The 14,258-nt window shown below is 45.0% G+C and overlaps 7 annotated features.

Annotated features, from left to right (window-relative positions):
- Positions 1,554 to 2,061: an enhancer, noted in NCBI's record as "NANOG hESC enhancer chr5:159201487-159201994 (GRCh37/hg19 assembly coordinates)". NCBI's record gives its function as "activates a minimal SCP1, AML or CMV promoter by ChIP-STARR-seq in primed H9 embryonic stem cells {active_cell/tissue: H9 hESC(primed)}" and the evidence as "EXISTENCE:reporter gene assay evidence [ECO:0000049][PMID:30033119]".
- Positions 2,477 to 2,989: an enhancer, noted in NCBI's record as "H3K4me1 hESC enhancer chr5:159200559-159201071 (GRCh37/hg19 assembly coordinates)". NCBI's record gives its function as "activates a minimal SCP1, AML or CMV promoter by ChIP-STARR-seq in naive H9 embryonic stem cells {active_cell/tissue: H9 hESC(naive)}" and the evidence as "EXISTENCE:reporter gene assay evidence [ECO:0000049][PMID:30033119]".
- Positions 2,739 to 2,828: an enhancer, noted in NCBI's record as "active region_23552". NCBI's record gives its function as "activates an Ori minimal core promoter by ATAC-STARR-seq in GM12878 lymphoblastoid cells {active_cell/tissue: GM12878}" and the evidence as "EXISTENCE:reporter gene assay evidence [ECO:0000049][PMID:35858748]".
- Positions 2,939 to 3,068: an enhancer, noted in NCBI's record as "active region_23551". NCBI's record gives its function as "activates an Ori minimal core promoter by ATAC-STARR-seq in GM12878 lymphoblastoid cells {active_cell/tissue: GM12878}" and the evidence as "EXISTENCE:reporter gene assay evidence [ECO:0000049][PMID:35858748]".
- Positions 2,939 to 3,504: a biological region, named in NCBI's record as "H3K4me1 hESC enhancer GRCh37_chr5:159200044-159200558".
- Positions 2,990 to 3,504: an enhancer, noted in NCBI's record as "H3K4me1 hESC enhancer chr5:159200044-159200558 (GRCh37/hg19 assembly coordinates)". NCBI's record gives its function as "activates a minimal SCP1, AML or CMV promoter by ChIP-STARR-seq in naive H9 embryonic stem cells {active_cell/tissue: H9 hESC(naive)}" and the evidence as "EXISTENCE:reporter gene assay evidence [ECO:0000049][PMID:30033119]".
- Positions 3,239 to 3,288: a silencer, noted in NCBI's record as "silent region_16572". NCBI's record gives its function as "represses an Ori minimal core promoter by ATAC-STARR-seq in GM12878 lymphoblastoid cells {active_cell/tissue: GM12878}" and the evidence as "EXISTENCE:reporter gene assay evidence [ECO:0000049][PMID:35858748]".

Genomic DNA, 14,258 nt, shown 5'->3' with positions numbered 1-14,258 from the left:
CTAAAAATATAAAAATTAGCTGGGCGTGGTGGAGCATGCCTGTAGTCCCAGCTACTCTGGAGGCCGAGGCAGGACAATCGCTTGAACCTGGGAGGCGGAGGTTGCAGTAAGCCAAGATCACGCCATTGCACTCCAGCCTGGGCAACAAGAGCGAAACTCTGTCTCAAAAAAGAAAAGAAAAAGTTAGTCACAATCCTCAGAGATAAGCCACTGAGAGAAATCTCTTTGTTTAATTCCTTTAGTCTTTTCTTCTATGTAGGTAGCTTCTGTATTGCTTCTCTCATGCCATCTTAGTCTCGTCCCTACATTGCTGATGATATCTTGCCCTTCTGGGAAAGGTCTCTTCACCTCCCATCTGGCTATCCACATCCTACTTTCTACTAACTTCTGGGTTGACCTTCTTCTGGGAGGCTGATCTCATCCCCGGTAGAAAGATCATGGGTTATGGAGACTGTGGTTTGGATCTTGGTTTCTTCAACTTAACTAGCTGTGGACATGGGCAAGTCACTTTATTTCTCTGAGTGTCAGGTTTCATCTCATTAAGATGGAGGTTAGAACCTTGCGGAGTTTTTTTTTTGTTTTTTGTTTTTTTGAGACAGAGTCTCCTCTGACACCCAAGCTGGAATACAGTGGTGCAATCTTTGCTCACTGCAACCTCCACCTCCCGGATTCAAGCAATTCTCCTGCCTCAGCCTCCACAGTAGCTGGGATTACAGGCGCCCCCCACCATGGCCGGCTAAGTTTTGCATTTTTAGTAGAGACAGGGTTTCTCCATGTTGGCCAGGCTGGTCTCGAACTCCTGACCTCAGGTGATCCACCCGCCTCAGCCTTCCAAAGTGCTGGGATTACAGGCATGAGCCCCCACACCCAGCTGCAGAGTTACTGTTAAACAGAAATGAGGTGCAAGGAATAAAGAGCAAGGCTCTCTGGTCCTCTCTGGTTCTCTGCATCCCCATGGCACTTGCCCAGCTTACAGGCAGGGTGACATCCCATTGTTCCTAGGATAGTCTTATTTTGTTCCCAACCCTCTCCCCATTCTTTATTCCAGTCACACTGGCCTTTCCCTGAGGGCTTTGCCTGGCCTGTCCCCTCTGCCTGAAGCACTGCCCCTCTCACCCATGTTTTGTTACTTTCTTCTCATCCTTTAGATCCTGCGCAACTGTTACATCATTAAAGCATCCTGTCCATGCCTTTTAGAATACAGCAGTCCTCACCTGCCTTCTCATAAGACCACTTACCTGTGTCTGGGGGCACTCTCATGGTGGGAATTTCACAGTTATTTGTGTCTTTTTAAAAATTGACCTATTCCCTTCCAGAATTAATCTCCATGAAAGTGGTACCATGTCTGTTATTGCCCTCCAATGAATTTCTAGTGCCTATCACAGCACCTGGCACACAGTAAATACTCAGTACATATTGTAGAATAATTACATGAATTCCGTTTTTCGGTTGCCAGCACCAATGGATAGAAGAAGCTTCTTTAAAGACCAGGGCTGTGCCTCCTTTTCACATGGAGCTCATTGAAGGCCACTTCGCCCATACCCCAGACCCTAGAAGAAGCTTACTGCATTAGCCCTAGTCTTGCAAATGGCTCTCTGGCCTTTCAAGAGGATCCGTGAAGGGCCTGGGTGAGGCGCTATGGCATCCATGCCTCTTCCTAGTTGTTCTCCTTTCCTCTTCTGCAGAAACTCTATCAACCAGGGACAGCCTGAATGCCTCCTTCACCAGGAAGCTCTCCCTGATCTTCCTTTCCCACCAGTAGGGCATTCATTCTGCCGGCTTTGTTACCAATAGAACTGATTTCCCTCTGTCCTTGTAAATGCAGCTGGCTATTGTCTGAGCTGTTAGCTCGTTTGCCCTCTGGCTAAGTCGCTAGCCCTCAAACAGGTGCCTGGGGTGAACCCGCTCCCAGCTTCCTGTTTTCCACTTTTCCTCCTTTGCCCCCATTGCTGCAGGTATACTGAATGCTTTTCAGTTTTTCAAACCCGTCATGATCTCTGGCACTTCTGGGGTTAGGCACATGCTGTTCTCTCTGAGTGAAACTCTCTTCCCGAACCTCCTCTCCATATGCTTAACTTCCAATTAGCTTCCCAGCCTTGGCTTCAAAGTTACTGCCACCTGGAAACCTTCTTTGATTGCCTAGGTTAGGCTGGGTGCTCCTTCGCTGTATTGCGTGTGCCTCCAGCCCCCTAATGTAGCGTTTCTCACACCTTGTTTACCCGTCTTCCCTGCTAGAACGTGCGCTCCATGAGAGCTGGGACAGGTCAGTGTTACCTCGCTCACCTGGCACATGGTAGGTGCTTACTAACTACTTGGTGAATGCACAAAAAATAAATTAAGGCTGCCTTAGTCACCTTTGTAACCCTCTGTCTCCTCTGCCATTGTTCTCTGCACACAGCAGAGCTCGAAAATATTTGTCGGGTGGAAGGGGATGGAATTGAGTCCCCCCAGGTAAATGCTTCTGGACATATCTCAGAAAGAGTGCTATACGGTGAGCTCCTCGCAGCGGGACCACTCTTGTCCATCTCTGTAGCACCAGCACAGGCCTGGGCACACGGCAGGGATTCCACAGTGCTGCCACATTACTATTTTATTGGGTATACTGAGAGCTCTGCCACCGCTGGCAAGCCCCTTTCTCTCTCTGGCCTTAGTATCCCCATTGTAAAGCAGGGATAATCACGTGACCTGCCTTCAGGGCTGTTTTGAGGGTTAAGTGAATTATGACCTTAGCACATGTAGTAGAGCGATGAGTATGAGCTATTGCTCTCCCCTTTGTCACCTGCCACATCACATCTGTTTTTTTTTTTTCTTCCGGGCAAGGGCTGGCTTTGAGCGCCAAGCTGTGGAACCCAGGCCGGTAGCAGCCGAGGCGCAGGCCCCAGGTCTCTCCGGTTCCCGCCCGACCCCGCGCCACGGTCCTCGCCGTTTTGCTTTCGAGACACACCTGGCTGCTGCCGCGCGCCCCGGGCGCAGCCGCCCTTGGCCTGGCGCCCCCGCCTTTTTGCGGCCGGCGCTCGTGGAAGTTTCCGCGGCCGGTGGTGAGTCACTGCCCTTTTTTTAGCAGCCGCGGTGGATGTGCATCATAATTCACCCAGGCTCCCGAGAGCCCGGCTGCTGCCGCCGCCGCCGCCGCAGACGTCAATGCAGACGAGCCCGGCGCTCGGCCCGGTGCGAGGGAGGAGACCCAGGTCCGCGCCGCTAGGCCGCTGCCCCGCTGAACAGCCGCGCGACGCCCTCCCCGCGAGCTAGGGGCGGAGGGCGCTGCGGAGCGCGCCCAGGAAGCTCACCCCTCGGGGGCGCCTTGGAGCCGAGGAAGGGCAGGCTGTGAAGACAGAGCGGGAGAAAAGCCAGGAAGCAGGCATCTGGGCGTCCGTCCACCCCTCATTCAGTCACCTGCTCTACCGTTAGCCATTCAGGCTCTCACACTAAGTCACTTAAGACCCCTCTCTTTCATCCATCCACCCACCCACCCATCCACCCGTTCGATCATTCATCCACCCGTCCACTCTTCTGCCAACCACCTACCGGCCTTCCTATTCAGGCATTTGACATACTAAGTTACTTAAGGTCCCCTCTATCCACCTGTCCATAGCACACATTTATTTACATCCCATCTCTCTACCTGTCTCAGTTCATCTATCCATCCATTCATCTATCCATCCATCCATCCATCCACCCACACCCTCACTCGTTTAAATTAGTATCTGTTATGCTGGATACTGGGAACACACAGATAATTAGGGCAGCATCTCAACCTGACTCTCTCAGAATTAAAGAAATAGGAGCGATAGAATTCTATTACAGTAGGATAAGAACTGTAGTAATAGTAATTAGAGTAATATAAAATAGTAATAATGTAGGCTAATGATAGTAACCCTATTACAGTAGGATAATAATAGTAATAGTAGCAGCTAATATTTATTGAGCATTTATTGCTAAGCAGTGTCCTTAGCTTTCCATATGTATATCTCATTGGAGACTTACACCAGCCCTGGGAGGTAGGTGCCATTATTATACCCAATTTTCAGGTGAAAGAAACAGAGGCTCACAGAAGTTGGAAAAGTCCAGTGCTTACATAGCTATTAAATGACCAAAATGGTTAGAAGCCAGTGCTTCTTGCTAATGTCCTGGCTGGCATTTGTTACCTGTAGAGGTTAGCATGTTAAAAGGAGTTCAGTTGGATCAGTTATGCCATCTCTCTGAGCCTTGCTTTTCTGTAAAAATAGGGACACCATTTAGGGATAAATGTGTACTGTATATTAGGCCTTGCATCCATTTGCAAGGACTGAAGTGTCTGAAAAACTTATTACCCACCAAGATTAGAGAATAAGAATAGGGTATGGAGAAAATGAGATGTGCCTATTATTATTATTATTATTGTTATTATTTTAATTTTATTATTACTATACTTTTAGGGTACATGTGCACAATGTGCAGGTTAGTTACATATGTATACATGTGCCATGCTGGTGTGCTGCACCCATTAACTCGTCATTTAGCATTAGGTATATCTCCTAATGCTATCCCTCCCCCCTCCCCCCACCCCACAACAGTCCCCAGAATGTGATGTTCCCCTTCCTGTGTCCATGTGTTCTCATTGTTCAATTCCCACCTATGAGTGAGAACATGCAGTGTTTGGTTTTTTGTCCTTGTGATAGTTTACTGAGAATGATGGTTTCCAATTTCATCCATGTCCCTACAAAGGACATGAACTCATCATTTTTTATGGCTGCATAGTATTCCATGGTGTAGATGTGCCACATTTTCTTAATCCAGTCTATCATTGTTGGACATTTGGGTTGGTTCCAAGTCTTTGCTATTGTGAATGGTGCCGCAATAAACATACGTGTGCATGTGTCTTTATAGCAGCATGATTTATAGTCCTTTGGGTATATACCCAGTAATGGGATGGCTGGGTCAAATGGTATTTCTAGTTCTAGATCCCTGAGGAATTGCCACACTGACTTCCACAATGGTTGAACTAGTTTACAGTCCCATCAACAGTGTAAAAGTGTGCCTATTTCTCCACATCCTCTCCAGCACCTGTTGTTTCCTGACTTTTTAATGATTGCCATTCTAACTGGTGTGAGATGGTATCTCATTGTGGTTTTGATTTGCATTTCTCTGATGGCCAGTGATGGTGAGCATTTTTTCATGTGTTTTTTGGTTGCATAAATGTCTTCTTTTGAGAAGTGTCTGTTCATGTCCTTCGCCCACTTTTTGATGGGGTAGTTTGTTTTTTTCTTGTAAATTTGTTTGAGTTCATTGTAGATTCTTGATATTAGCCCTTTGTCAGATGAGTAGGTTGTGAAAATTTTCTCCCATTTTGTAGGTTGCCTGTTCACTCTGATGGTAGTTTCTTTTGCTGTGCAGAAGCTCTTTAGTTTAATTAGATCCCATTTGTCGATTTTGGCTTTTGTTGCCATTGCTTTTGGTGTTTTAGACATGAAGTCCTTGCCCATGCCTATGTCCTGAATGGTAATGCTTAGGTTTTCTTCTAGGGTTTTTATGGTTTTAGGTCTATCGTTTAACTCTTTAACCCATCTTGAATTAATTTTTGTATAAGGTGTAAGGAAGGGATCCGGTTTCAGCTTTCTACATATGGCTAGCCAGTTTTCCCAGCACCATTTATTAAATAGTGCCTATTATTATTATCTGTGCTTATTCCAGAACAATTAAAAATAATCAAAAAGAAAATATCTTTCATTCCATTATCTAGAAATAACAACGTGTATGTTATGTTTGTGTTCTTTAAAATGTTTATTATCAATCTATATGCATATATGTGTACATGATTTTTTCTTTGCAAAAATTGATTATATTATATATTTAAAAAAATAAAATTTAAAAATGTAGCATGACATGAACATATTTGCATGGATTTAACGTACTTTAAATAAATGTATAAAGAGAAAATAAGCCGTCATCTTTGTTGCTGCTTCCGTTTTTTTTTTTTCTTCCAAGGCAGAGTCTTGCTCTGTCGCCCAGGCTGGAGAGCAGGTGTGCGATCTCGGCTCACTGCAACTTCCACCTCCCAGGTTCAAGCAATTCTCCTGCCTCAGCCTCCCAAGTCGCTGGGATTACAGGGATGCACCATCATGCCCAGCTAATTTTTGTATTTTTAGTAGAGATGGGGTTTCACCATGTTGGCCAGGCTGGTCTCAAAGTCCTGAACTCAGGTGATCTGCCCGCCTCGGCCTCCCAAAGTGCTGGAGTTACAGGCGTGAGTCACCGCGCCCAGCCAGTTGCTTCCGCTTTCACTTATTTCCCTCCTTCCCTCCTCTTCTCATTTTTCCTTTTCTCCTCCTCCATAATAGTTAGAGGTCCTAATTACAGACAACAGAATCCATTCTAGTTAGTTAAGTGGGAAGGAATTTATTAATAAATAGATAGAAATGTTTATTATTATTTTTGTTGTTTTTGTTGGAGTATTATTACTAAATACTTCATACAATCGTTCGGTGGGCTGAATAAACAGTCTCTAGGGCAAGCTTCCTGGAAGACAACTTTGCAAACCACGACACAGAACTGGGCCACCAAAGGAGCTGCAGGATGAGGAAACTGCTGTCACAGCAAAACAAAATCCCAAAAGCAAAGCATCTCTGCATGTGAAGCTGTTAACACCCCATTGGCCAAAGCAAGCCACATGAGAAAATTGTGGGGAGTATGGAAATAGATTCTCCTTCTTTTTGTTTTTTGTTTGTTTGAGTTAGAGTCTTGCTCTGTCACCCAGGCTGGAGTGCAGTGGTGTGATCTTGGCTCACTGCAGCCTCTGCCTCCTGGGTTCAAGCGATTCTCGTGCCTCAGCCTCCCGAGTAGCTGGGATTACAGGTGTGTGCTACCAAGCCCAGCTAATTTTTATATTTTTAGTAGAGACAAGGTTTCTCCATGTTGGCCAGGCTGGTCTCGAACTCCTGACCTCAAGTGCTCCACTTGCCTCAGCCTCCCAAAGTGCTGGGATTACAGGCATAAGTCACCATGCCCCACCCAGATTCTCCTTCCTAATGGGATGAGCTGTTAAGCTACCCTGCAAAGGGTGAGGATGTAGAAAGGGGCGAAGTATTCAGGCCAGTTGTGTCATCTGCAACATCAGGGAAGACTTTTTGAAGGAGATGGTAACTGAGCTAGTTTTAAAGGATGAATTGAGGTTGGCTAGGTGAAGAGTGACAGATGTGTCGCAGAGAAGGTAATTTAGAGTAGATGACGCAGCAAGTGCAAAAGTCCACAGCCCTATCTGGGAATTGCTAGTGGTTCCATGTGGTTAAAGGCTAAGAGTGCAAGAGGAGAGCAGCAGGAGATGATGTTGGAAAGGCAAATAGGGAGCCAGGTCTTGAAGGACCTTGAAGTTAATTATACATTAGTAAAAGGGATAAACTGCTTTTCTCTATACTCCGAGAACAATTTAGGCAACCACATGAGTGAGTTCCCTCCTTACATTAAGCAATATTCCAGCTCTCTGGTCATCAACTTGGTGCCCCATTGTTCGATTATGACACTAACTCCCTGGAGTTGTACAGACCCCAGAAGTTAAGGGCTCAGTCCCACAGCACCGAAGCCCACTTCACACAATAGTCAGAAGTCCTAGGTTATGATCCATATTCTCTGACTGGCTATAAATTGGGGGTTCCCAGGACACCCTTCTTGGGTGTGACAATCTGCTAGAGTGGCTCACAGAACTCAGGAAAGTGCTTTATTTACCATTACCAGTTTATTGCAAAGGCTACAACTCAGAAACAGTCAAATGGAAGAGATGCACAGGGCAAGTTATGGGGATGAGGGGCTGTCTGGTGCTTCATACCCTGTCTGGGCTTATCCCCCCTCCTAGCACCTTCATATATTCACCAGTCTGAATGCTCTCTGAACCCCTAGTTTATGTTTTTTTTTTTTTTTTTTTTTTTAATGGAGGCTATGTTACATAGGCATGGCTGATTAAATCATTGGCCATTGGGGATTGAACTCAATCTCCAGCCCTTCTCCCTTCTAAGGAGGCCCAGCTCCCTTCTGGGGCTGGGGTTAAAAGTTCCAATCCTCTAATCACATGGTTGGTTTCTCTGGCAACCGTCCTGCATCTTCCAGGAGTCACCTCATTAGGCTTGTTGTGAATAACAAAAGACGCTCATCTTGCCCCTAAGACTCAGGAAATTCCAAGGGTTTTAGGAGCTCTGTGCTGGGAGCCCAGGATGAAGACCAGATATATATTTTTATCATATCACAATGTTATAATTAAGGAGCCTTTCCTATCCTGGTAATGGTGGTGGTGGTAGTAGTTGGAAGAACTTTAACATCTGTGTTTTCTAAAGAACACTCTGTGGACAGCATTCAGAATGGAGGAGAGGAGTCAAGATCAGAGGCAAGAACAGCAGAAAAAAGCATGTGGCAGTATCCCAGATGAGAAACAGTGGTGGCTCAAATCAAGACACCAGTAGGAGGGGTGGAGAGATGTGACTCTATTGGCCAGACATTAAGAATTGATAGGATTTGCTCGTTGATTGGATATAGGGATGCGAGAAAAGGAGTCAGGATAATGCCATGTTTGTTTCTGGCTGGCTCAGTGGGATGGATAGTCATAGTTCATCTTGGTGGGAAAAATGATTTCAGATTCGGGCATGAACTGAGTTTTAGGGGGATGGTAAGCTGAATAAATGCTGCTCCAAAATGTCCACATTCTAATTCCAGGACCTGTGAATATGTTACCTTATATGGCAAATGAGACTTTGCAGATGAGATTAACTCAAGTATTTTGAGATGGGGAGATGATTCTGGATTATCTGGGTGGACCCAATATGATAACGGTCCTTATAAGGGGAGGAAAGGGGGTAAGAGTCAGAGAAGGAGATGGACAACAGAAGCCAAGGTTGGAGTGTGCAGAGCCATGAGCTAAGGAATACAGGCAATTCTAGAAGCTGGAAAAAGTAAGAAATAGATTCTATCCTGAAGCCTCCAGAAAGGATGCAGTTCTCCTGTCATCTTGATTTTAGTCCACCTAGCCACTTGATTTTGGGCTTCTGACCTCCAGAACTGTAAGATAACAAACTTGCGTTGTTTTAGGCTATTATGTTGGTGACAATTTGTTACAGCAGCAGTGGGAAACTCATACAAGAGGCCTGTGGGAAGTCCGGGCAGGAGTAAGTGTCCAAGGACTGAGGAGAAAACATCTGGGATGGAGATATGGACAGCAGAGTGATAGACATGCTCTGTCTGGGAGAGAGCATATCGACTGGATGATAACATCAAATTTCCCAAAAAGATGATGTGAAGTGAAAGGGGAAGACAGCCTAGAAAAGGTTCAATCAGGAATAACCTCTGAAGAAAAATGAGGAGGAAAAATGCAAGGAAATCTCACCCTGGGAAGTCCAAGAGTAGAGTGTTAAGAAGGAGGCCCTCCCTGTCAACTACCACAGAGCCATTGAATAAGGTGGCTCCGTGTGCCTGTTGGATTGGACTACCAAGCGTATAATCTCGGTGAGAGCAATTTCAGAGGTCAACCAGGAGTGGAACCAGCCTATATTGCAGGGGCAAGAGTGGGAGGTGAGGAAGTGGAGACATAAGGGAAGACAACTCAGACTGTTGGCTTTGATGGGGAGCAAGAGATAAGACAGTAGCTGGAAAAGGATAAGGGATCAAGGGAGGGCTTATTTTTAAGATGAGGGCTTATTTTAAGATGGTGGGAGAGATGAAGAAGTTTATTTCTGTGAAGGAGCCAGCCAGAGAGTTGAGCGCAACTGAAGATGGACAGAGGAAGAGTTTACAGATAAGGTCAGATACCTGAGCAGTATGTACCAAAATGAAGTGCAAGTGGCAAGATTAGTCTTAAATTCTTAGATTAGAGGAGGGTGATCCTTCAACAAGGCCTGAAGGAAAGGAGGCAAAGATGGGTGAGGGATGTTACAGTGTGCAAATAGGACAGAGGTGGGGGACAGTTTTCCATGTGCTGGTTAAAATGCTCAGACATTTTAGGACAATTCCTTTCTGACTTGCTGTAGTAAATTGCTACTAATTTTCACTACTTCGATTAAGAAAATAGAATGTAGAAGGAATAAAGGTACCCGTCAGAGCATCATCGTAGAAACAAGAGTCTCAGCTGAAAAAATTTTTTTCTCTTAGGAATCATAACAACATAAAATATAGGAATTGCCATACTGGGACAGACACAAGTCCACACAGGCTCATAGTCTGCTGCCAACAGAGGTCCCACGGGATGGGCACCCAGAGGGCACAGTCATGCTGTACCCTTCCTTGATCTCAGTTAGTAGACAGAGAAACCATTTCCCCCATGACGTCAACCATAAAGGTTAGGTATATCCCAGCACCCATTTATGGCTCTGTCATGCATAAATATACTCAAACTCTCTGACTGCTTGTGCTATCCCCCTTGGGGTTCTGTGTTTCATTAGTTTATTTTCAACCGTGTGATACAAAATTTTAAAAACTCTATTTCCAGCTTATTTTGAGGTTTGAAGACTGATCATCTATCCCAGTAGGCATCAAACTTAATAATGCAAATGAAATACATCTAGCACATGATAAAACCCGACACATCATAAATGATTCATAAGGGATAGTGATGACACTGATGATGACGATGATGATAATGATGATGTTTTAATCCTCAGTAATCCTGCTTGCTCTAAGGCAGACTTGTTCAACTGGAGGCCTGCGCATTGCATGTGGCCCAGGACAGCTTTGAATGAGGCTAAACACTAATTTGTAAACTTTCTTAAAACATTATGAGATTTTTTTGTGATTTTGTTTTTCATCAGCTATTGTTAGTGTTAGTGTATTTTATCCATGGCCCAAGACAATTCTTCTTCTTTCAATATGGCCCAGGGAAGCCAAAAGATTAGACACCCCTGCCTAAGTCCTTGGCCAATTACTCGAAATCACATTATCTTTCCCATTTTACAGAAGGGCAAACTAAGGAGGGCCCATCAAAGTTATATGGCTTGATAAAAGGAATCAGAGAAGAAAAAAATGGAAGGTCAGAGAGCAGTTCACCGAAAAGTTAAAGCTTACAGTACGAGCTAGAAGCTTAAAGAGTGGCTTTGAGACATGCTGCCCTTACTCCCTGTAACCCACCTACCCAGTCCGGCCCTGGGGCTGCATTTGCTGATCAGCTGCCTTTGCCACAGTGGAGATCTAAACCCAACTCCGAAAGCTCTGGGGCCAACTAGCCTGACACGAATCCTTCAAGTCTAGTGTGCGAAAGGATCCATTTTATTTATTCTACCCTCATGATGGAAATAGCCCAAAACACGCCCTTGTGCTTATTAAGCTACTTCCCAGCCAAAGCCAGCCAGAGAATGTTAATTATCTCATCCTTTTTCCCATTCCACGATGAATTACTGATGTCCAGAGCATGCTATCTTTAATTGTGAGGTATTCCAGAATAAGCAGGTTATCGAAAATATGCAAAGGAGGAGAGTTTTGGTTCAGCCCTGGGAGGCTGATGTGGGAAAATTTATCCTTATTTATTTACATGGTAATGGGATGAGATTTTGCCAGCTTGCTAATAGGTTCTTAAAGAGAAACAGGCTTCCTGTGGCCTAATTAGAACGATTGGTTGCCCTGCTGCCACATAAAACACCAAACCAAGAAGGCCATGGTTTCCTCTTTCTAGATTCTTCTTCTCTTTGGGGGACCATCTGCATTATTTGCATGGGGGAGGCAGGATAGTAGAGTGGATGCAGCTTTCTCTGGTTTCAAGATAGCTACTCTCAATAGCTATTTGGCCTGAGATGGTGCATTTAATCTCCCCTAAGCCTCAGTTTTCCTATCAATCAAATGGGGATGGTTATGCTTTTCCCCTAAACCAACTTAGCAAGTTTGTTTAGAGGACAAGATTAAAACGTTGGTTTTAAAAGTGCAATGATCGGATTTTGTATCTCTGAAGAGCACACGTGATTTTCCGGAAAGCAAAAGACAGGTCGTAATCATATTTAAAAATAAACCTTAGCATTTTCTAAGTGCTTGGCCAATTACTCCAAATAACATTCATTCCAGAGGCTGCTGGGGGGTGGTGGTGAGTCACGTGATGAATGTATTAGATTGTGGAGCAGCCAGAGACAGCCTGCAGCATCTCATTCCAAAACCAGGCAGGAAACAGGCTGGGCCACAGATAACCCCAAATCTCTCTTGCAACAGCCATTGGTTTCCTTTTCTTACTGATGCCCAGAAACCTCTCTGAGGTCTTCCTACTTTGTCTTTACCCTTTTGGTCTTCTCAGTTACTCAATACATGTTTATTGTGTGCCTCCTATGTGCCAGGCACTGGGCTGGGTGCTGGGTAGAGACACAGTCTGGGGCGGGAGAATTTGTGGGGGAAGAAAAACGAATACACAAATAAACATGTAATTACAAAGGAAAGTAGAACTGGAGGCCCTGAGAAGGTACAGCAAGGCACAGCTAAATTATATGAGAGGGTCAGGAAAGGCCATTAAATTTGAACCAAGGCCCGAAAGCTGTACCCATCAGATCAAGAGTAGGAGAAGGGCACTCCAGCTAAAGGGAACAGCACGAGGGAAGACAAGGAGGACCTGGGGGTGTTGGAGGAATGAAAATAGTAGGGCGAGGTGTGAGTGTGCATGCATGTGTATGCACACGTGCACACACACACAAGAATGAATCATGAAGAGAGGGGAGGGTGGGGTCAGGTGAAGTAGCAGGGGCCAGGGAGGCCTGGGTTTAGACCCTGGCTCTGCTACCTGTTATCTGTGTGCTCTCGGGTAAGCCACATGGCCTCGCAGAGCTTCAGTCCCCTTGTAAAGGGAAATGAATGACGGGTAGCTTGTGAGTCAACCAGAGGCTCACCGTTCACTACAATAGCTTACGAGGCCTCTCTGATCTGACCCGTGTTAGCTCTTTGACTTTCTCTCCCTCCCCTCCTTAGCTCCAGCCAGCTGACCTCATGCACATGGGACATGTTCTACTTGGAGGCCTTTGCACTCGCGGTTCCTCTGCTGTCAGTGCTCTTCACCTGCAAGTCTCACTCCCTCACTACCCTCAGGTCTTCACTCAGATATCATGTTCTCAGCGAGTTCTTTCCTGACCACTTTGTTTCATTCTATTCCAAACATTCATCCCTGCTCTCTGCTTTATTTTTCTCCATTGCACTTAGCGTCGTTCAGCACACTCTGTATTTTACTTATTTTGTGCATTGCCTGCTCTCCCCATGAGAGGCTCTATGAAGCCATGGAGCATTTTGTTAACTGCAGTGTCCCTAGCATCTAAGGAGAGCATCTGGAATATAATAGGTACTTAATAAATAATGTTAAAAGTTTGCAAAACTTTCGATAAGCTAAGTAGAACAGTACTTCCCATGGAGTAAGTGTTGCATTCCTTTTAGCTGCTTTTTCTTCCAGCTCAGAAAGTTCTGTCCCATTTGAGCCCCCTGAAGGCTGAGCTCCTCTGTTCCCTTGGAATAATTCCCAGCTTTGTTAGCTCTGTGCCCTTCCCAACAATTCCTTTCTTCAAGGTCTTGTGCAAGTTCCATCTCCTCCACGTTTTTTTCTTTCTGACTTCCTTCTGTGGGCCTAAAAGATCTCTCCCTTTTCTGATCACTTCTAACACATTCAATCTTTAACTCTCATATGATTATTCTTTTTCTTTTTTTTTTTCTTTGAGACAGAGTCTCGCTCTGTCGCCCAGGCTGGAGTGCAGTGGCGTGATCTCGGCTCACTGCAACCTCTGCCTCCCATGTTCAATCGATACTTGTGTCTCAGCCTCTGGAGTAGCTGTACTACAGGTGCGTGCCACCACACCTGGCTAATTGTTTTTGTATTTTTAGTAGAGACGGGGTTTTGCCATGTTGGCCAGGTTGGTCTTGAACTTCTGACCTCAGGTGATCCGCTTGTCTTAGCCTTCCAAACTGCTGGCATTATAGGTGTGAGCCACCATGCCCAGCCCTATGATTTTTATTATTGACTCTTTGTGACAACCCCTGCCCTGTCTTTTAACCTTTTTGTCTTCTAACTAAGACTTTGAATCATAGATTCTTAGGATTTTGGACTGAGGAAGGGTCTTAGCAATATTTTCTTCACTTTTATATAGTTGAGGACTTTCTATAAGCTTCTTGAGGCATAGGTTTTTAATGTTCAATTTCTTTAAATTTCCTTATTACTTTATTCAAAAAATATTTATTGAATGCTATTATGTGCCAAGTCACGGATTAGGGACTACGATATGATAGTGAACCTGACATAGTTAGAACTTTTAAATTTTAACATCTTAAATTCTGACATGTTGGTGCTTTGCAATAGTAGA

This window comes from Homo sapiens, chromosome 5 (assembly GCF_000001405.40).
Source record: "Homo sapiens chromosome 5, GRCh38.p14 Primary Assembly".
Taxonomy (NCBI): Eukaryota; Metazoa; Chordata; class Mammalia; order Primates; family Hominidae; genus Homo; species Homo sapiens.
Note: the sequence above shows the minus strand (reverse complement) of the source record. Positions and strands in the feature narration are given on the sequence as shown.